Here is a 20,618-nt window from a genome sequence, read left to right as displayed (position 1 = left end):
CGCGCTGCTCCTTCATTAGCTTCCCCTCCACGCGGCGCTGCATGCCTAGGAAAATAAGTTAGCAAGCGGGGAGCCGTTTATCTCTTTTATCTTGGGGCCTGATCCAATTAAATAAGTGCACATTTACATTTGCATCCATCAGGCGGGAGCGCTGAGAGCCCGAGGTTTGCTCGGAGCAAATAAAAGCAGATTTCACCGGGAAAGTGGTGTCTGAGCGCGCTGGGCTCGTCCCGGTGCCGGAAACGAGCGCTGCCCGGCGAGCGGCCTTGGGGACCCAGGGCTGGGGCCCGTGGCCTACACGAGGCCAGAGATCCCCACTGGCCCCGAGAGGCCGCCCAGCGCTGGAGGTGCGGGCAGAGCTGCAGCCAAGCTCCCGAGGCGATCTGCTGTTAGGCCACAACCTGGGCTCGCCTAGTGCCCGAGGCCCAAGTCGCAGTTCTCGTGAAAACGAAAAGGAGATCGGCTATGCCCTGGACACAAAGGAAGACCCGCGGGGTGGGTCTAGGGACAGTCCTGAAGCTTTAGCCAGTTTAAGGGGAAGGCGGGCAGCAAGGTCCCAGTCGGGCCCGATTTCCCTCCTGTTTGATGACCGGGCGACGAGGGAAACAAAGATCCAGCCCGAGGGCGCGCCCCCCTTTCCCCTAATAACCCTGCACCTGGGGGAGACCAGTGGATACAACCTATGAGGGCTTCTGGCGGGGTAGGGCGAAGCCGAGGTAAGCACCGCAGGCCTTGCCAAGCCAACCTCATTAAAGTTCTTTTCGGAATAGGAGGGTTCGACGCAATGGGAGGTTACTTTTGTTTTGTTTTTCCTTTTTCTACAGATGTCCACCCCACAGGCCAAAAGCTCTTAAGACCAAAACGGTCTTTCAGGGCGCGGTTGCACGGTAGCACCCCCATTTCCCAAACCGCAGATTAAAACTGCGCGGGGTCCAGAGTTGGAGCGTGGAAGGGCCCGCAGGAGTGGAAGTGCGTACACCTGATGCGGGACGGGAACTGCCGGGCGCGCACGGCTGCAGCCCCCACCCGCAGGCTGTTTCAGCCGGCAGCGTATTTCTCAATTGCCTGCGCCTGGTTTTTTGAAATGTGCCGAAGCCGTGGCGGGAACCGGTAGGGTTAACTTTGTTCTAGTCGTGGGCCCTGCTCCCCAAATTCCCAATGCTAACTGGGTCTTAGGTCCAGGGCTGTGGCGCGTTGGGGTGGCGAAGCAGTTTAAGTTTGTCCGGGCCGGAGTTCAAAGCTAAGGCCCCACGGTGGGTGGGGGGATAGCGGGGGTCTCCTCTAGGTCCCCCTCCCTTCGAATCGCATGGCTCCCAGGGGCCGGTAGGCGGCGCCCTTCCTAAACTGCATCCGCGTCTGGCTCTGTCATGGGAGCGCAATTACATTCCTTTCACTTTGGGCGGTTTGCATTGCGCTGTTCCGCGCTTCCGTCCGAGTTGGCAGCTAGCTGTGGGGGACAGGTGGACTAGGAGGCACGGTCGGTGCCAAAACCGCACGTGCGACCTTCCCTCCCCCACAATCTTCTAGGTCCCAAGGGCTGCGCATGGCACCAGGAATAAGCAGCCCGGAGGGGTTTGCAAATCAGGAGGCCTTGCTGCAGACCCCGCACCCGGGCTGGGGGAACGGCATTTCGGGCCTTGGTACCCGGAGTGTAGGAGCTGGGAGGAGAAAGACGTCTCTCCTGACTCCCAAATCCCATGAACTGATTCGGCCCCGCACAGAGCAGGTTTCCGGTTTTGCACTGCCTCAGGGGACTGCTTACAGAGACCCCACGCAGTGATCCCGTGACCCCTGTTGCTAGACATCCAGAGGCTTCTGGTCCCTAAGTGCCAAGGTAGGCGTTTCTTGGGGCCCAGAAACGGCCTAGCCAGGGGCAGGTGGCAAACGCCAGCACAGTCTCAGCACCTCGGGACCTTAGGCGCTGCCTCGCGCAACTTCTGCGCCCCAATCCATGCCTGAGAAGAAACCCTGAGCCCCGAACACGCCGGAAGTTTCCCCAGCGCGTCTAAGAGGCTTCGCCTGCTGGAGGGCCCGAGACGCAGCAAAGAAGAGGCTCCGGGAGGAACTTGGGATCGTACGGACACGCAACCACTTCTGGGATTAAGCGCGGAAGACGTTTCCTAAATGCCCTGAATCCCCGTTTGCCTGGTAGGCCACCTCCAAACTCAGAGTCACTAAACACCAGAAAAGCTGGTGGCCACCGAAACCCAGCTCTGTAAAGAAGAAAAACCCAGACGTAATTGGGTGCTAGTACTGAAGACCAAGTGCGCACAGAAAACCGCAGACCGTGCAGAGGCCCAGGGCGGAAGGGATGCGGGCAGCGGACAGCGACTCAGGCAGCAGCCGCGGAGTCCCCAGCGGTTTAGCTCCCCAGCCGGAGGCTCTCCGCGCCGTTCCTGGATGAAGAGAAACGCCTGGCGTTCCCGGGTGCGCGGTTCCCGTTCCCAGGCAGCTCGGCGGGCATTCGGCTCGCAGCCCCGAGCCTTCGCGGTCTGATTTGGGAGGCCTGCGCCCTGGCATTTGCATATTCCCGGGAACACTGGGAGGCCTGTAATTTTCTTTTTAAAATCGTTGGGCAGGGTTTAGGGCCAATGCTTCCAAAACCCCGCCGAGTTGATGTCGTCCTTAAACTCTCCCTTAAGAGAAGGGGACTGGCCTATTCTTCTGACTTTTTTAGAAAAGGTGACTCCTGGGGCTGCATATTCAACAGGGGGGAAAGCTGATTGTGAACCAGGCTGTGGGGGGAGAGAGGGGAGAGTGGAGGGGGATGAGGCGCGGCGTAGGGGGGAAAGGAGGGAAGGCAAGTCATCTCTGGAATTCAATTGTTTAAAAAAATCATTTATAATTAAAGGGACAAAATAAAATACGATCGTCTCATGCATATTTAATCATTCACACTTCCAGCTTTGAAACCATTTTCCCTGCGTGAATTTTCTCACTAATTTAAACCCTAAAGTCGACTGCTGTTTGCTAAAACATCTGGACAATGCAGCTTTCAAACTTGTTTAAATTCGAATAAGCTTATAAAGGAGCCCCGTGGCAGGCTAAAAAAAAGAAATAGCAAAAGCAACTCCAGTGAAACTTCGGGGTGGGTTTAAAACACCGAGTTAAGGTTAAAGTCATCTTCAGTAGAAATGCAAATATGTGCATTTTGATTTAGTCTAATTAAGCCGGTGTTATGTGCAAACACATTCCCTCTCTACACTCAGGCTTGGGTTTAATAGAGCAAATTAATTCCCGTCGCTGGGGTATGTTTTTGCTATAACAACCCCTAGTCCCTCCCCCAACCACTGAAAATTTCCCACGAAGTAAAACGCGTCCGGGCTCCAGATCTCGGGTGCAAAATGGAGCCGCCAGCACCGCAGCCAAGCCCGAACCCACATCGCTGGCCGGCCTCGGGGACAGGGCGTGGATTCTTCCTCATTAGGGATTCAAATGCATCCTGACTTTTTATTTTGAGATGAAGTATGTGGGATTAAAACGAGAAAATAAAACCCCAGAAATATTTTTGTAGCTACTCGGACTCTTGCATCTGAGCTGGGAAAAGTGCTAAAGCGACGACAAGCCTGATGGAGTCCACAACGGCCTCGTTATCTAGGTAAATGGCCTCGAACTTTTGAAGGCCACTTGTCCAAAAAGAGGCCCGTTGTGAGAGGGAGGGATCCTTTCAGGGGCTCCCCTCTCTTCCCCCAAGTGGCTGTGGCGCTCCCTCCTCCCCTTCCGCCCACTCTGCAATCTCCGACTCTGCAAAGTGCAGGCTTGAAATTCAGGACAAGTGTGACACCTACCTGTGAAAGGGGGAAACCGTCCCCTCGCCCGTCCCGCTCGACCCCAGCCCCGCAGCTGAGCGGGCACTTCTGGGCCGCCCGCCACCCGCACGGTCTGAGATGGAACGTTCATAATTTAATCAAATCCAAAGAAGAGATCAATGCGCAAATTTGAAGGGGCAGAGAAGAAGACGGTGACTTGGGAAAGTCTTCCCCTTGGCATCCCTGAATGCTCCCGCCCGCACTAGCCCGAAGCACCCTTGAAATAGTAATAAGGGCTAAATCCGGCATAAAATCGAACTCATTAGCAAAGTTCACCAGCTGATTGCTTTGCATAAAACACGACACTGATTGGAAGTAATTAGGTTAAGCGATGGCGCTCGAGTGGTGCGTGTCCCTAGCTGGCTTTGCCATCTTTTCTCCCTTCTGGGCACACACTTGGGTCTCTCTTCTCCTTCCTCCAGGGTCCAATCTCTCCCAAACAGCCCGCATCAGTGATCCAGATCTGCATTCTGGGCAGGGCCAGGTTCCCCGGGGCTTGCAGCCTAATTATGGTTTTCCCCTGGTACACTTGAAGGTCTGTGGAACCTTTCAATCCCCACTTTGAAAAAAGTTGCAGTTTGCACCTTTTGACCAAGGCAATGGACAGTTTATTGAGGCTTCTAAAAAGTAATGAGTGGCTCTCATTATGTTAAAATCTCTTTTAATTAAATATTTTGCATTTTACAAAGGCGCCTGCAGTTTCTTTCACTTTTTAAATCTAAGAGTATAACCTGTTTCCTTTCTGTAATACTTTAGCTCATACCCAGCAGAATCAATAGGTGTAAAAAATTAAATTAAACTTGTATTTTTTAACTATGAAACAGTTTTGGGGGAAACACAAATGTATATATTTATATTACAAAAAAACATTAAATGCCTGTACAGGTGTCTTGATTTCATAATTTACTTCAAAGATATTGAATTATCAATTTAAATACAAAAATGCTACATTAAATATACAGAATAAGATTTAATACAAATCCTTTTTTAATTTTTCTTTTCGGTTGGTTAAGACATTTTTTTTTTTGTGTGGAGATGTTTACATTTTTATGTCATCCATCTCCATAAACTATAAACTTCTGAATAGGAGGGGTAGTTTATTTTCTCTCTCTGTCTCTCTCTCTCGGTGATGGAAAAATAACTGCCAAGGCCATGTTTTTAATAAATTAGAAAAGTCCGGGACCGACGCAGCCCGCGTTAAATGTCGGACATACCTTTCTTCAATTCATAGGGAGAGTCTTTGCACAGGTCTAGCTGAGACTGGCTCCGCAACATTTTCGGGTCTTTAGCCAAAGCGTCCGCTCGGTTCAACACGGTCTGGTTTAATCCATTGAAATGAGACCCCGGACCGGTTGTGGGGCCTGGCCCGGGCCCCGGGTGGCCATGAAGGTGTCCGAAGGAGCCATAGTTCGTGTAGCCGGGATAGAAGGGCGCGGTGTAGTAGAGAGGCCGGGACAGCACCGTCCCGCCTGGAAAAGGACACTGCGCCGAGGGCGAGCGTGACGGCGCCGGGGCCGGCGACGCCCGGCTGCCTCCTAGGGCTTGCCCGGCTATGGGCCCGGGACACGGTGGGCATGGAGAGCCCTCGTTCCCGCCGCCCCCGTCCTTGACCTTGTCCGACGATGTGGCGATCTCTGCCAAAGACCACAGTTTGGGCTTGGCGAGCACCGCAGGAGGCGGCGGCGGAGGCGGCGAATGGATAACCGAGGGCCCGCCGGGACCCGGAGGCACCTCGCCCGCGGCTGGATGCGGGCCGGGCGCCGGCGCTCCGGCGGGGTAGTGAGGGGCCGGGTCCTCCGCCAGCCGCGCCGCCGCTGGCCCAGCCGGGGAGGGCCCGCCGGTGCGGGGGGGGCCCTGCAGCGCGTCGAGGCGGCCCTCCGAGGGCGGCTCCTTAAAATCCGAGTCGCTGAGGCTGCCCTCCGTCTCCTTGCCTGCAGGGGTGGGTGGTCCCTGAAGCCGTTCGCAGCCCGAAGCCGCCTTCTGCTCAGCTCCTCCTGCGGGCGAAACCCAGGCTGTCAGGGGCGCAGAGGCCGCGCGGCGGGACCCGGTTCCCGCCCGCAAAGGCAGGGACCCCTGCCCCCAACCTCCAGGCCCCGTGCGCGCCCCCTCCAGGCCTCTCTTTTCCTTTTTACTCCCGCCCAACACGCCCTTTCCCATGTCCACCAACCTGCTTCGGGGCCCTCGGGGTCGCCCTTGTCCTCGGGCTTCTGGGGCTCGTCCTCGTCGTTCTTCTCCAGGTCAATGTTCTCCTCCTCTTCCTCGTCCTCGCTGCGGTTCCGCGGCGTCCACGTCATTTTATTCTCTTTCTTGAGGCGCCGGCGCGCGTTGGCGAACCAGGTGGACACCTGGGTGAGGGTCATCTTGGTGATGATGGCCAGCATGATCTTCTCGCCCTTGGTGGGGTAGGGGTTCTTGCGGTGCTCGTTGAGCCAGGCCTTGAGGGTAGCCGTGGCGTCCCTTGTGGCGTTCTTCCGGTACGCTGGGTCCCCGTAAGGGTACGATCCCAGGGGCGCCGCGTAAGGATGGTACCCCAAGGAGCCCGCCATGCCGGGTGTGTGGTCGTAGGGAGAGCCCTGCGGTGGAGACGCAGAGAGGTGAGTGTGGACCGTGGTCTCCACTGCCATCGGAACGACCGAAGCACCCTTTTCCCTGCGCTCCCCGGGGTCTGTGGGTGGACGAGGCCCGCACTCCAGCTTCCTACGGGGCAAGGCTGGCGGGGTTCAGACCTAGGAGCAACTCCTCCCCCTCCTCAGAAGGCAGCGGGGACCTCAATTTCTGGGTCAGGTCCTTCTGGGGCCCCTGAAGCTGTCCCGGCCTCGGTGTCACCCCGTAGGCCCCCATCTGCCCGGGCACGTCCGTACCCCGTGCGCAGATCTGGCCACGGCGGCCCGGCCCTCCATGCAGATAGAGGCCTGGGCAACTGAGGCGACTCCGCGCTCGGCGGGGGAGCGGACGCACGTTGGGCGCAAGGGGGGAAAACAAGGGAAGTCAAGGCTCTTTTTTTCTTTTTTCAACAGCTAAGAAATGCAAACAAAAAGCTGAGCCATGCCCACGCACTCCCACCCTCCAAAAATACTACCCCAGACCGAAGTTACAACCCGGCCGAAAAATCCCGGATGCACCGCAGCTCGACCGACTTTTCAGAAATTTAATACTCCCAAATCGGATTGCGAAGATAGGATTACGGATTTGCAACATTTTGGAGGACTAATTAAAGGCTAGGCCAAACACATTTACATAGACTTAGCACGCTTCTGCTCAAATTTCGAGTCTATTTCTTTTGAACTACTTTTCCAAAATGGCAAAACCAAAAATATAAAATTTGCAGGGCAGCCCGGAGCTTACGTTTACACCAAATGCTGCTCTTTAATTGCAGCTACCTCTCCCCACAGAACCCCTTCCCGCCAGCTCAGCGATCCGAGCAAGACGCGGCTCTCTTTTGCGAGCAACTCTTGAGTCCAAGGCCTGGGCGAAGCTGGCGGAGACAATCGCCCAAGTTTGAAGGGGCCGCGAAGCTTGGCGGGGGAGGTCGGTGTTGGCGCCTAGGCCCGTGTCCCCCTCCGCCCCCGTCCTCCCGCCCGGCCCCTGCTGCCCCTCGCCCGCCGCGGATCCCGCTCACTTACCACGTACGAGGAGAAGGCGGCGGCGGCGGCGGCCGCGGGGTCGGCGCCGTACTGGAGGTGCGAGTTGTAGCCCGGCGAGGGCGCCGTGAAGGCAGTCGAGCCAGCGTAGGGCGAGAACGCGGAGCCCGAAGAAGAGCGGCCGAGCTCATCCGTGCGGGGCCCCGAAATGACGCTGGTGCTGTACGCCGGGCACGAGTAGAGCGCCAGCGAGGCGGACGGCTGGTACAAGTAGCCCTGCGGATAGGACATGGCCACACACGGGCATGGGGCGCGCCGCGCCGCGGCCGCCAACGAGCCGGGCGGCGCCCTGCGAGGGCGAGCGGGCGGGCACCTGGCCTCTGGCTGCCCTGGGCCGCCGCTCCTCTGGCCCCGGCTCCGGGGCTCCGGCCCGCGGCGCCTCCTCGCTGGCTTCCCGCGCGCCTCCGGCTGCGACCGCCGCGCCCGCTCCTCTGCGCGCCTCGCTCGCCCCAGCTGGGCTTTTTTTCCCCTCCCCTCCCCTCCCTTGCTGCTTTCTCTTTTTTCCCCTCGCTCTTTGCACCGGGGGGCTCTGCTTTTGCCTTTGCAAAGGTCCTGCCAAGATGCTAAGTTGGAAATTGAGGATTCTGACGCCTTGTGCGCGCCCGAAGCTCCTCCTTCCCGGGGTGTAGTCGGTGGGAGGACTGGCAGGAGCTTCTGGGCGGCCGCAGCCAACCCGGCCGCCAGGCGCGCCTCGCCCTCTCCCTCTTCCTCCTCGGCTCTCTCTCCCGCTCGCTGGCGCTCCTCTCGCCCCTCCCTAGCGCCCGCCTCCCCTCCGCGGCCCCCCCTCTCACCCCTCCTCTTTGCCTCCCCTTTTCCCCTCCCCGGTCTCTCCCTCTCTCTCGCTTTCTCTCAGACTCTCGAGCGCCGGCCCCAGGATGACAATCACATCCCAGGAGCGCCGATCTCTTCCAACTTTCCTCTTCTGCTAACTCGGGGCGGAGTGGCAGTCCCGCCGCCCCGAAGCACAAAGGGAACGAGGCCGCGGGCTGTGCGCCGGCGAACGCTCTGCGCTCTCCTAGCCACAGTAGATCGCGGACTTAGCGGATTTCTTGTTCTCCGGCAGGCTGGGCTCCGAGGCCATTCGTTGCCCACCCCCCTCTGGCGTCTTCCCCAAGCCAGGGGGCCCGGAGAGCCAGCTGGAGATCCGGAATGAAAGTCTCTGGGAGAGCCGATGGATGGCCCGCGCCCAGGGCGCAGGAAGTCCGGGATGACTGCCCCTCTGCGCCGGCAGCAGCAGGTGGGCGAGAGACAGGCCTCAGACGTCTGCACGTCTCCGCCTCGCCTTCCTTCTACCGACCCCCCGCCGGACGGCGAGGGAGAAGACACTGGTTCCTGGAACTACCGGGGTAGCCTTTTTCTAGAGTAGGGGTGGTGGGCAAGAACTGCCAGACAGAGAATCAGCTACACCCGAGGAGATCTCGGGACCGTCCCCAGCTCCACTCCCACGCCTCGCAGCCTCTTTCTCCCGGTTTTCCCACCGCACGCAGCTCGCACCGCCAAGTCGGTGGTGGTGGAGGGTGCGGGTCCCCTTCCCTTTTGTTTAACTAAGTCGCCTTCCCCTTCGCACGCACTCTCGCATCCGCCCACGCTCCACTGCAAACACTGGGCAGAGCAGTGCCCAACCCAACCACTGTTTGTTCAGCGAGGCGCTGGCGAAGCAAACACACACAACTGAGTCAGAGGCAGAGCCCTTGCCCACGACGGCCACACAGTTAGAATACAAAACAGACCCTCTCCTCTTCTCTCCACCTCCCGCCACCACAAGCCACGGACGCACTCGAACTCTGGGACAGACAGGGGCGCTGGTGAACCAGGACAGAAGATGGCACAGGTTTGGGCACGCCGCGGAAGCTCGGGATATCGGGAACTTCGCATAATGGGGCCACACGCAAGCCGAAGCATAACTATATACAAAGTTTCTCGCATTGACTTTGACGGGCGAGATGTACTTTATTTCGCGATCTCACACTAACCCAGCGCCGCACCGGCACCCGCTCGGTGCTGCGCTCTCGTGCACGCGCGTTGGCTCCTCCCCTCCGTCTGCTCCCCTCCCCCAGACACCGCCCACCAAGAGGCCTGAGCGGTTCAGACTACATTCTCCGAGAGCCCCTGGGTCCGCCCAGCCCAGTGCCTGACACCTCCTTCACCTATGATTGGGCGCTGGCCTCCCTGGGCTCCGCCCCCTGGTGACGTAACCCCGCTTTCCTCCGAGTCTCGGCGCCAGAGGGGCGGGGAGGGGCGGGGTCTCGATCGCGCTATTGTCATGGAGACGGGAAGCTGGCTGCAGCGGCGGCGGGGACCGTGGGGCCGAGGTGGCTGCCAGCCGGCCAATGTCTAAGCGAGGCGGAGCGGCCCAGGCGGCCCGAGCCTGGGGGAGCGCGCAGCCGGCCAGTGGCGGCCTCGCCGGCGGCCTCTTCCCGGGCTCGCAGTAGGCCCGAGTCGTCGCCGGGAGCTCCTGGGAGCAGCGTCCCCGCCCTGCTCCCCTCGCTCCCGCCTCTTGCGGCCCCACGGCCCCTCAGCGCCCGCCCCCGGCTCCGCCCGCCGCAGCCGCAGCCCCTGGCGCTAACGGTCGGTAACGGCCCGCGCGCGCCGCCCGCCGGGGGCTCGCGCCAGCCACGAGGGAGCGTCCGCGGCCCGCGCGCCCGCGCGGCGGAGGAGAGGTGAGCCCCCGCCCGGGCCAGGCCCTCTGGCCGCGCCGTCCGCCCCTCTAGTCGTGTCCCCTCGTGGGCCGAACGGACGCGGCGGTGCCCCGCGCCCGACCAGACGTCCCGTGGGCTAGGGCCTGGGCCTCGGGCCGCGTCGGCGCCGGTCGAGCCTCTCCGGGTGTCGGGGTTCGGGGCGGGCGCGCGTGGGCGTGGCTCCTCTGTCCACGCCTGTTCCCTTCGTCGCCGCGGCTCTCGTCCGGGACACGGCTTTCCGGAGTAGAGCCCTTGGAGGTTTGTGCCACCGAGAACCCGAGTCTGTCACACAGACATCCTCATTACATCATCCTGCCACTCCGGCAGTCCCGCGCTTTCTCCCCCCACCCCCGCCCCCGCCCCCGCCCCCGCCCCGTGGCTTGTTTGTTGGTTGTTTTTTTAATTTTTTTAACCCCTTTTCTTGTACTGTCTTCTTTTTGGTGTCAGGGGCTGGAGAGACTCCTGCAAGATATTGAGGCATTTAGAATGTATGGTTCTGTTGCCGTGGTTGTCACCTCCGCTCTACGCCAAATTTAAGACTCATTTCTTAAGGATGTCTCTATTTTCTGCTTTATTTGCACATTGATGGCTCTGCTGCTCAGCTGGCCACGGCCGCCCGGCGTCTGAGATAGAATTGTGTTAATATGAGAAAGGGAACGGCCGATCATGATTAGCAGGCAGACGGCATGCAGATAGCATCTGGCGGGTTTTCTCCGTTTTTATATGAAAGCGTTCACTTGTTTGCTGGTAAACACGAGGTTTTAACTTTTTATCTGGGTAGTGGTGACCGTTTGTTTCACTCTCCCCTCCTTTTTACTTCCTATTCATTAGCTTTTCCGTTTGGAAAGCTGCATACTTGTTAGCGGTAGTTTGGTGTCTTGACTCTGAAGCTTTCTCTTCCAGCAGAGGTGGGATCTGTATCCCTCCCATCCTAGGTTACCAAGAAGACTTTTTCTCCCCTTACTTTCTATTGAATTTGTGTCTTTCCCAACATTTAAACTTACACTAGGGATAAGTTTGCTCGGGTTGTTTTTGACGTAGGACTATTAAATATTCTCATTTTGAAACTTCCTAAAGGTTTATTGGTTTGTCATGTCTGCACCGATCCAGTTTCGCATAACTCTTAAAATTTAAAGCTTTAAAGTACGGTTCGCAATTGTATTGTCAAGACATGGCCCTAGAGCTTGTTCTTCAAGTTTTGGCTGTACAGTTGTCATTGTTTCAGTCAAGTGCAAAAGAGGTTATTCCTGTTTATTTAGTGTTAATAGCTATTTACAGTTAAAACTTTAAAGACTCATAGAAGTAGGTCTGCTGTATTTTAAAGATCTCATCATTCTTGTGGGAGAGACACAACACCAACACCAGGAAAGGCAACAGATTGCTTCTGTCATATCGCTTTGCTGTTTTGGAGTGTACTTAAAGGATTATGATTGATAAGGCTGTCTTGCCAGAGAATGTTGACACAGGTGTGCATCGTTATCTTAATTAAGATCCTGAGAAAATGTTGTCTATAAATGGTGACATAAGAAGGGCGGCATATTTTTGTACAGTTTTGCTTTTGGAGAATTTAATTGCACTTGAAACCTGTCTTTGAGCTTCCAGATTTTGTGAGCACTTTAGCAACAGAAGTTTTAGAGAGAAATGATAGTTTAATGTTAAGTGTTCTGGCATGTACTAATACTACTTGTGGCTTTTTGGCAATGCCTGTGTCGGCTTTCTTTGTGCTCTACCTTTGTGGAATAATGGTTTCTAATTTTGAAAGAAAAGCATAAAATAGAGCAGTATTTTATTAAGCAAACACTTGTTAGTGTTCAGAATAAGTCTGTAGAGGAGGGCATGCTTAATGTGCAGAAACAGGAATATAATAAGAGGTAAATATATGAGAAATTTATGCTATTTCGTTTTTTTGGAAAAGAAACAGTCTCCTGGGGTGCCTTAATGATCTAAAACAATTTCTTTTTCATATCATTAAATACCTAGATACAATGTTTACGGAATGCCTTGTTTTTATTTCTAAAAATAGAAGAAAACTGTTTTATTTCTTCCAAAATACTGTTCTGTGTGTTTGAATTGATGAGTAAGTGAAGATAGTGCATTTAGTCTCTTACTAGTTTAAGGATCTGAGTCATAACCTGGGTGACCACTAAAATAATATTGCTGTTCTTTACTACAAATCTCGGAATGCAAAAACACTGGCAAGATGGATGCTGTTGATGATATTACCCTTGGCTTACCCAGCACCTAATACCTTTTAACATAAGTATTGCATTAAGATTTTCTCTTCTCTTTGTAGCTTAGGATTTCCTGGAAGCTGGCTGTCTATCAGTGTGTATGTAAGAAGTGTGTATGTTTTTCTTTAATATTAAAAGTCACTGTAAAAAGAGGAAATGAAAGTGGAGGAGACCATAGGCATATGATCGGAAAAGCCAGGTGTAGAGTCACAGCTCATTCTTGACTCCAAGGATAATTACCTGGTTAGAATTACATGGTAAACTAAAAGAAAGACTTACGTAGATTTGTTTGCTAAAACTAAAACAAGACCATTAATTTTGAGATAATTGCTTTATTTATCTCCCATACCACCCCTAATCAAAATTTTTTTCCCCTCTGGCAGCTATGATGAGCATTCTTATGCTGTTATCCATGTGTTATTTTCAAATTTGATATATTGCATTAAAAGAGATGAAATAGGAATATGAACTAATTATCCATTTTAACGAATAACTCAATAATTATTATTATGTGTATACATTCTAGAAATCTTAGGAAAAAATGTTCTTTAGTTGATAACAGGAAAGTAAATTAAATCATGTAATCCTGAGTGAATTAAATATGCTCTTCAAAATAGATGATGAACATAGCATCATACTTTGGAATAATGTTTTAACTCTGGGATAGTACAGCCTGTTTTGAGTGGTAGTATTTCATTATCTTTATATGTTTCTCTTCAATATCTCTTTTTTGTTGACTCCTATATTTTAACATCTTTTTGGTATATTTGTTAGCTGTTTATAGGGAATAATTTTTCTTAATAGAATAGCAGCTGGTGCAACTCTAAGAACATGTCAAATCTAGGAATTCTTTTTTCCTTTTTCAATAATGAGTGGTTTGCTTTCATAGCACTGCTCTGAAGTGTGATGCTGAAGGCTTATTTCTGCATAAATCTGCAGTGTTTTTATAGCTGTAGTGTACCTAAGCACCAATTTAGCTTAGCAAATTAACTTAGATGCTTCAAAATTGAAAACCAGTATATTCTAATGTAGTTTGAGTTTAAGTCTTTATTAGTAAGGATGCACTTAACATTTGTTCAGGAGAAGAGAATATAATTTTCTCCTGCAGTTGTCATTTACGTAATCCATTTTTCTAGTCTTTTCTCAGGCTAATGATATTCCATACCTTGATACAGCTTTTATTTGTTTATTTGCCATAATATGGAGTGATACCTTCGAGAAAATTAGATATTTGAATCTAATATCCCAAAAGTATTACTTAGTTTTCTGTGTTTCCTTAAACAGAATCATTTCCATTTTCGGTGCAGGTGTTAAGTGTGATGCTTCCATAATACATTTGGATGCTGTCAGCTAAGTTCACTTCTGAACTAAGGGGTTCCTCCAAATGTTGGCTGAAATTCATCCCAAGGCTGGTCTGCAAGTGAGTGTCTGCACACAGTTTGCTTGTATGTGGAGTCGATCCAAAATAGCATCAATGTTGGTTTTACCAAAGTATTTATTATTGATAATAGAGGCTAAGTACAAAATGTAGAGAATGTCAGCTACTTGAGGCCTTTGATTATTAAAAATTTTATTAATGCATTAAACAAGAGTACAGTAAATAGATAAATTTTAGGTTCATGAAATAAAACTGAATAATTTATTTTTACTTACTATTTATCATGGAATTACTTTGAATAATTTATTTTTAATGGTATAATTGGACAGTAAAATTTATAAACTCAGTGCTTTTCATAAAAATCAAAGTGAAGTTTGTAATATTTTATACAAATAGAATTATTATTTAAGAGAAATAACCTGTTTATGCCTAATTACAGTTTTTAATCATTTCAGTTACCTATTTCTTTTAAGAATAAATTTAGTGGGAATATCAGTTCCAGTCATGGGTACCAAACTTTTTTAGTGACAGAGTACACACAGGTATGTAAAACTTGTCATTTCTCATCAAATAGAGGCTGCTGAATATAGGCAGGTAAGAAAAGCTATGAGAAAGAATTGTTTTGCAGAATATTTGTCTAGTTGTCAGAGCAAGGAACTGAATTTATTGACACAGAACATTTTATTAAGTAAAAAAAATGGTTCTTATAACAAAAAAAAAAGCTAATTTTACAGAAGGCAGTAGTTAATATAGCCGCCAATAAAATAAATGTTTCTCTGAATACTTTCCGAGGCATTACAGTGATTTTTAACTAATATGAAGTGATATATAATAATTTTAAAGTAACATCCTTGAGTTTTCCTATTATTAATTGCTTATGGAAATTGGGTTTCACGTATGACTGAGAGCTAAAGCATTACAGTGAGTTAGAAAACACAACACAAATGTAAAGAAAATGTTAGGTGGTGAGTAATCTGATTCCTTTTTGTTTGCCTTTAAGCTTAGTTTTTTGTTTTGTTTTACTTTGTTTTAAACCATGTATAAAATTGTTGAATTTAAAAGATAAGAGGATTAAGTAATTTCTTTTTTCCTCCTAAGGATAAATGTAGGAAAAATCTAAACACATAGGCAGATTGGTTGAGTTTTATATCTGTTATCGGCCACATTTATTAAGATTCATATTTCATGTATATTAGAGGTATTCACATGTATTAAAATTCTTATATTCCTTCTATATAAAATAGATGTAGGGGGTTCCCACTCTTGAAAATATGAAGAAAAGATGTCCTTTCAGCAATAATGGGTTATGGTTGATTAACTGAGAAGGTTGTATTAAACGTTCTCTAGTAGAAATGGCTAAAGAGCATGCTTTTTGAGAAGTGTATCATCTAGGAAGAAAATCAAATGGAGTATTGGTAATTAAATTGTAATTCCATGAAGGAAGGAAGTGGTGCAAAAGATGAAGCTAACTATTCCTGTTTTTCTTTTTAAGAGTCTGCAATTCATAATGGAGCTACTGTACTGGCTATTGGAAGGAGGAGATTCTGAAGATAAGGAGGTAATATTATCTCTTTTAAAAGAATACTTTCCTCTGTAATCCTGAATCTTTATTACATGTAAGAACTTTGTGCAGTAGACAGCAATTTCTTTGAATTTGGTATATGGAAACAATTTTATTTTCCTCTGCTAAGTTTTTGAGCCTGCCTCTTCTAGTGCCATGGACTGCATTGGTAGAGCTGAGAAATATCATTTAGCCATACTCAGCACCCTTAAAATAGCTTCTTTCTGAGAATTAGATCTGTGAAGGTGTCCTGCACAGTTCTTGTAGATGTCATTTTAGTTTGTGGTTGACGTGCATGCATTTAGCATGTTGCTTAACCGTCCTCATTCGCCTCCCAGTTCTTTGTTGCCTTCATTTGGGGGGATGTGTTTTCTGCTGGATGATTTACTGCTAGACATGACCAAACTCTGAGTATAAGACTTGGTGTTTGGCAGCTGGTTCCAGTGCTCTGCTGAGAAGTAGTTGGGCCCAGCCTGGGGCATTGTAGTGTCCTGGAGGCCGGGAGCTCCTGCACAGGGGTTCTTTTCCTGGTTCAGAGCCTTAGGTGCCTTTCCACTTTTCACGTAATCTTTTCCTAGGTTGGCTTGCTGCTTACTTTGCAGCTGTTGCAGGGATTCACATGGAATGGAGGGCTCCCTTTTATTGTGGATTATTTCTTTGATAATTTACCCATGTGCTTTTTCATTTTCAAAAACCCAGTGGTGTTTAAGAATGAAAGATTCTTGAAGAACAAAAATTGGGTTAAATTTGTATCTATCAGAAAAGATTCTATCCTCTGATGCTATGTAGGCACATTGAATATGCAGGCTAAATTAAAAACAGAGTAAAACCTTTTTATAATATGCCAATTACTATATCTAAGAATGTTTATACAGGCTGAAATTTTGTAATGGTATTTATATCTGTTTTCCTTTTTAAGGAAAATAATATACTTTTCTAGGCATCAAAAATATCTGCCCCTTTCACTAATGCTGATGTACCACCTTCCCCCAACCCCCAACGCTAAATTTGACTGGCTTAAAAACATCTGCCCCCTGAACTATATCTGGGGAGGAATATTAATAAAACAATGAAGGACTTCATGGTGTCTAGTTATATAATTAGGAAATTGGTTAGAAACGTGGCTAAAACCAGTTTCTTTCATTAAAAGAACTAGTGTACATTTAAAAACAAAAACCTTCAGGAAAAAGACTCTTTGATCTTTAAGTCAAATAGTATTTTTGGTTAACACAGCAGGAAGGGGAAATATACCAATTTCAGATTCTTTTATTTATGCCTAAGTAGAGGTTGTAAGCAGCTAAGGAAGTGATTAAAATGTAGTCTAGTAAAAAATGGTGCTGATTACTTGGAAAGCAGTTTACATTTGCAAAAAAATTCAGTATTATGACCTTCACCAACTTTTACACATCATATACTTGGGTTATTACTTATGGTATAGCTTGTGTATGGAATGCAAGGGTATTTTCAAATTGACTAGGTCTTGCTGGTCATCTTAAAATATGTTACAATATTACAAAATTGAAATGTAATATTTTTTAATAGAAGGAAAATATAAATTTAATATCTGGGCAATTGAGACCTTTAAACTTACTTTAAAAGTATGATCTTGATGTATATGATACTGTTTTGTCTTTGCTATATTAACAGAATTAGAGGGGTGTTCTGCAATTCAAATACCTTATATATTCCAAATTTTATTCTCTATAATGGACTTTTAAAATAAAAGGTATATGTGCTTCAAGAGGGCAAAATTTGAATCATGAGCTAATTTGCTAAGCATCAGATTATAGAAAAGCATCCTTGATTAATTTGGAACTGTGAAAGGGGGCGGGTAAAACTGTTTTCTGCAGAAATTTACTAGTGCAGCAACCATTTAAATTAAATGTTTGTTAACATAATAGTGATGGCATTTTCTCCTCCCCCTCCTTGTGGTTTTGTCCAACTAGATGTTACAGTGGCAGTTGCACTGACTGTTAAGTGTTTAAATGATGACACCATTATGTGAAGTGATTTTGAAATGAGAGATTCCAGCCAAGAATTACATCTGCTCCCATCTCCTTCAAATCATACTCTCTGGCAGTACAGATTATGATTGATTTGTTTGTGACAGATTGCAGGAAACAGTCATTGATTTTTCAATATTTTACCTTAAAATTATTTACAGTTGTAACCATGGGGAGGTATTTTCATGGGCTGTCAGCCCCTGAAAGACTAGGATAATATTCCCTGCTCTCTGACAAGACAAATTACCTGTAATGAGTGCAGTAGCTGAAGGGTATACTTTTATTTTAAAATATGTCAATAACCCCAGTGACTAAACGAATATTGATTTAGCATAATGAAGCCTGAGTAACGTGAAAATGAGCTTTTTCAAGGGGCATGGTAAAGTCTTTCTTTTTAGCTGGTTGTAAGAAGCTTTTGATTCTTTTCAGCCAGCTGGTAGGAATATAGAATTTTATAAGCAAACCATCAGGAATGATAGTGTTGTTTCTGATAAGCAACATCCAAATATTTTGACCCTGCTTTTAGTGGTTTTTTTCAAATCTTATTTTGAGTCTTACTTTTAGTCATAGAATAGCTACTGATTTGATGCGGTCTTTAACTGACTTAATATTTTTACAATTTCAATATATTTTGCATTGGAATCTCCAGTAATGAATATTAAAATATATGTACAATCATTTGTAGATGATATCAATTATATTAAGACATTTCAGATGGGCTATTGTAGTATTTAATGTGCCGTATTTTATGGTAGAATAATTCTCAGTCTCTGGACATCAAGATTGCTTTCAGTGGGAATGAAGATTAATTTACTTCAGTCCTGATTTTTTAGGCATCAATGCATGTTTTCATTTTTGTCAGACTTTTACCCTCTTTTAATGTAATTCTCAACTTCTTATGGATTTACTTCCCAATACATAAAATCCTTCAAAACAAGAATGATAATAATTTTTATACTTTTTATAAAAATAAATTTATTTTTAGTCCATCAAGGTGTCTGAAGATTTTATGCCTAGGTATCTCCATATCTAACTTGATAAGGAAAATAGGATAAACAATGCTGGTAATAGCAGGAAAGTAAGTATTTGAATAAGATGTCAAACTGATATTTCATGTGAACCTAACTCATTTTATGGTAACTAATAATTATCTTATTTAAATCAATAGGTAAAACCTGTTTAGAAATTAAAAATGAGTTACGATTTAAAGAAAATTCAGATGACTCATTGTGAGTGCTAGTTCTCTTGTAGGATGCCACTGGAAATGTTGAAATGAAAAATGTAAGTATATCTTTTGGTGGAAAAAAGGATAGTCTCTAGGACACAAAATTACTGTTTTATTTTTTTCTCAGGAGTTTGCCTAAGGGTGTGACAGATGATCTCTGTCACTTGTCTTAGTTGTGTCCTGCAATAAACTGGATGCTTTATAAAATACTAGACCTGTGATTTCGTATGCTGTAATATTTCATTTCTCCATCACCCCTCCAAATTATTTCTTAGTTTGGAGTAAAATAATAAATGTATTATAGTCAACATCTCTTGACCCCTCTTTAGTTTCAGCTAAACTAAGCATGTGTGTTTGTGTGTTCATTTTATAGTTCATGTGTAGAACTATGTGAATTAAATTTAAGAAACATGTAAAGTAGAGGAAATAGTTTTCTGGAGAAATTTTTCCTTTTTGGATATTATGCCCTTTTCCATTGCTTTTCTCTGCTTGAAAGCAAAAAAAAGTACCCTACCCCTGTTCTCCTTTAGGGAAAAACTATTCCTATAAAGTATTTTTAAATCGTGCAAGTCATTGCCTAGGGTTAGCTAAAACATTTCTTTTTAAAAAGGAGAAAATGCCCTGGCTTTAACATTTTCTTGTATTTGTATCTATTAAGATAAACAGTTTACTTTGATACAGTACATACCAATCTACTTAATTTTTTTTCCAGGATTCCTTTTACTATGTTTGGTCTGACCTTTTATGATAACTTAATATGGGAACAAATTAGCATATAATTCTATTTTCCATGTGACCTCAACCAGTTGCAGAATTGTACCACTACTTTAGGGGGGGCAATTTGACAGTTTATGTAGACTATAGCATTAATTGTTCCCAAATGTTCAGTGCATCCTGGCTAATGTGTTATTGAAGGTGTTTTCACGTAAGCAGTTAGAGGAAGCACTTCACCCCTATTACTAAGTTATTAAAATGCCTCCTAAAGGTAGCATTTTAAATTAGTATACATAATTGATTAGTAATTTGTCTTCTCCCAAGCATAAAACAGCATAGCAGAGTTAAGTGTGACCAGTGAAGTATAAGATATTAGGGATTGATGGTGACAATGATCATAGCAACTAAATGGATTTTTTTTTTCTTTTAGATTCAGCCGTTGGTCTTTGAAATTTCCTGTGATGTGTTTCAATCTAGATGCAAAGAACATGGAAAAATCAAAGTGCTCGAGTGGTTTAAATATGTTTTGGGTATTCCTGTTTATAGACTATAATACTTTTCCAATTAAAATCCTCAGTTGTCACGCAGAAGAAGGTTAAGCTGTATTTGATTGCCAGTTTTACTGAAAATGCTTAGTATTTTACAGTATCACCAAATATATTTTGTTTAGCCAAGGTATAGGAAAAATAAAATAAATTGTATAGGTTGACTTTTTTCTAAAATGTCTTTATTGGATTGAATGAATGTTTATACCTGAAAAAAAAAGGTTCAAAAAAATTCCTTTTTCTATCAGAGTCATTCTTTTGACAATCAGATATTAGACTAGGTTTAAAATAACTTTCTAATATGACTCATATTTATGGGAGGAAAAAGACTTGAAAGATATTCCTATGTGTACTTTAATTTTCTGTAATAGTCCCTCTGGAATAGAATATCTCTTCCTCAAACAAATCTATTGGCTCATTTCATATACAAGAAAAAGTTGCCCTAAATGGCAGAGTTTCATCTCTGTAAAGAAGGCTGACATCCACTTCCTTCACAGAATCCCTGCATTTGGGTAATTGAGTAATGATAGATTACCTTGCCATTGGGAAATACCTTGTTGTGGCCTTTGTAGCAGCTATAGGAAGATGGAAGAATTCTTTTGTATAGACAGGTCTCTAGCCTCTTTGGTGTGGACACTGTGAAGGGGTACATCTGGTGAGAAGGAGTGCTTAGGGAAGGAACTGGGAAGGTCCACAAAGGCTGATGATGACAAAGAATCCAAGGGCTATGATGAATTCTTAAGCTTAGATCTCAGAGTCATAAAGTAAATTTATTAGGCTAGAGAGATTTCCTTTTTTATTTTTGATCAAACTTTATTTTTTCAGATTGTTAA

General features: G+C 46.9%; 1 protein-coding gene and 2 long non-coding RNA genes across 9 annotated transcripts, besides 8 other annotated features; 2 read left to right on the top strand and 1 right to left on the bottom strand.

Moving 5' to 3' along the window:
• The first annotated feature begins 208 nt into the window (after nt 1–208).
• LOC124903692 (uncharacterized) lies at nt 209–2,866 on the top strand. The gene is made up of 3 exons (XR_007065074.1): nt 209–716; nt 825–1,110; nt 1,528–2,866. It is a non-coding gene; the product is annotated as an uncharacterized LOC124903692 (long non-coding RNA).
• Nucleotides 1,728–2,290: an enhancer, noted in NCBI's record as "H3K4me1 hESC enhancer chr16:54970502-54971064 (GRCh37/hg19 assembly coordinates)". NCBI's record gives its function as "activates a minimal SCP1, AML or CMV promoter by ChIP-STARR-seq in primed H9 embryonic stem cells {active_cell/tissue: H9 hESC(primed)}" and the evidence as "EXISTENCE:reporter gene assay evidence [ECO:0000049][PMID:30033119]".
• Nucleotides 2,860–3,609: an enhancer, noted in NCBI's record as "H3K4me1 hESC enhancer chr16:54969183-54969932 (GRCh37/hg19 assembly coordinates)". NCBI's record gives its function as "activates a minimal SCP1, AML or CMV promoter by ChIP-STARR-seq in naive H9 embryonic stem cells {active_cell/tissue: H9 hESC(naive)}" and the evidence as "EXISTENCE:reporter gene assay evidence [ECO:0000049][PMID:30033119]".
• Nucleotides 3,610–4,361: an enhancer, noted in NCBI's record as "H3K4me1 hESC enhancer chr16:54968431-54969182 (GRCh37/hg19 assembly coordinates)". NCBI's record gives its function as "activates a minimal SCP1, AML or CMV promoter by ChIP-STARR-seq in naive H9 embryonic stem cells {active_cell/tissue: H9 hESC(naive)}" and the evidence as "EXISTENCE:reporter gene assay evidence [ECO:0000049][PMID:30033119]".
• Nucleotides 4,395–8,015, bottom strand: IRX5 (iroquois homeobox 5). 3 transcript variants are annotated; one of them, NM_005853.6, is made up of 3 exons: nt 7,433–8,015; nt 5,977–6,382; nt 4,395–5,803 (listed from the first exon to the last, which is right to left on the bottom strand). In NM_005853.6, the coding sequence occupies exons 1-3, from the start codon at nt 7,679–7,681 to the stop codon at nt 5,007–5,009; spliced, it is 1,452 nt and encodes a 483-aa protein (NP_005844.4). In that variant the 5' UTR covers nt 7,682–8,015; the 3' UTR covers nt 4,395–5,006. The 3 variants fall into 3 exon arrangements, with proteins under 3 accessions (NP_005844.4, NP_001239126.1, XP_011521111.1); NM_001252197.1 differs by having other exon boundaries at nt 4,395–5,800; nt 7,433–7,681; XM_011522809.1 differs by lacking the exon at nt 7,433–8,015 and adding an exon at nt 6,671–7,362.
• Nucleotides 6,064–7,263: an enhancer, noted in NCBI's record as "CDK7 strongly-dependent group 2 enhancer chr16:54965529-54966728 (GRCh37/hg19 assembly coordinates)". NCBI's record gives its function as "activates an origin of replication core promoter dependent on BRD2, BRD4, P300/CBP, MED14 and CDK7 cofactors, with strong dependence on CDK7, by STARR-seq in HCT116 cells {active_cell/tissue: HCT116}" and the evidence as "EXISTENCE:reporter gene assay evidence [ECO:0000049][PMID:35650434]".
• Nucleotides 8,072–8,181: a silencer, noted in NCBI's record as "silent region_7506". NCBI's record gives its function as "represses an Ori minimal core promoter by ATAC-STARR-seq in GM12878 lymphoblastoid cells {active_cell/tissue: GM12878}" and the evidence as "EXISTENCE:reporter gene assay evidence [ECO:0000049][PMID:35858748]".
• Nucleotides 9,400–9,469: a silencer, noted in NCBI's record as "silent region_7505". NCBI's record gives its function as "represses an Ori minimal core promoter by ATAC-STARR-seq in GM12878 lymphoblastoid cells {active_cell/tissue: GM12878}" and the evidence as "EXISTENCE:reporter gene assay evidence [ECO:0000049][PMID:35858748]".
• Nucleotides 9,650–10,059: a silencer, noted in NCBI's record as "silent region_7504". NCBI's record gives its function as "represses an Ori minimal core promoter by ATAC-STARR-seq in GM12878 lymphoblastoid cells {active_cell/tissue: GM12878}" and the evidence as "EXISTENCE:reporter gene assay evidence [ECO:0000049][PMID:35858748]".
• On the top strand, nt 9,994–20,017 carry CRNDE (colorectal neoplasia differentially expressed). Of its 5 annotated transcripts, NR_110453.2 has the most exons (6): nt 9,994–10,110; nt 13,667–13,779; nt 14,193–14,279; nt 15,230–15,295; nt 18,470–18,582; nt 19,671–20,017. It is a non-coding gene; the product is annotated as a colorectal neoplasia differentially expressed (long non-coding RNA). The 5 variants fall into 5 exon arrangements; NR_034105.4 differs by lacking the exon at nt 14,193–14,279; NR_170995.1 differs by lacking the exon at nt 14,193–14,279 and having other exon boundaries at nt 9,994–10,386; nt 18,553–18,582.
• Nucleotides 10,110–10,309: a silencer, noted in NCBI's record as "silent region_7503". NCBI's record gives its function as "represses an Ori minimal core promoter by ATAC-STARR-seq in GM12878 lymphoblastoid cells {active_cell/tissue: GM12878}" and the evidence as "EXISTENCE:reporter gene assay evidence [ECO:0000049][PMID:35858748]".
• Nucleotides 20,018–20,618: the final 601 nt, after the last annotated feature.

This window comes from Homo sapiens, chromosome 16 (assembly GCF_000001405.40).
Source record: "Homo sapiens chromosome 16, GRCh38.p14 Primary Assembly".
Classification (NCBI taxonomy): domain Eukaryota; kingdom Metazoa; phylum Chordata; class Mammalia; order Primates; family Hominidae; genus Homo; species Homo sapiens.
This window is presented reverse-complemented; position numbering and strand designations above follow the sequence as displayed.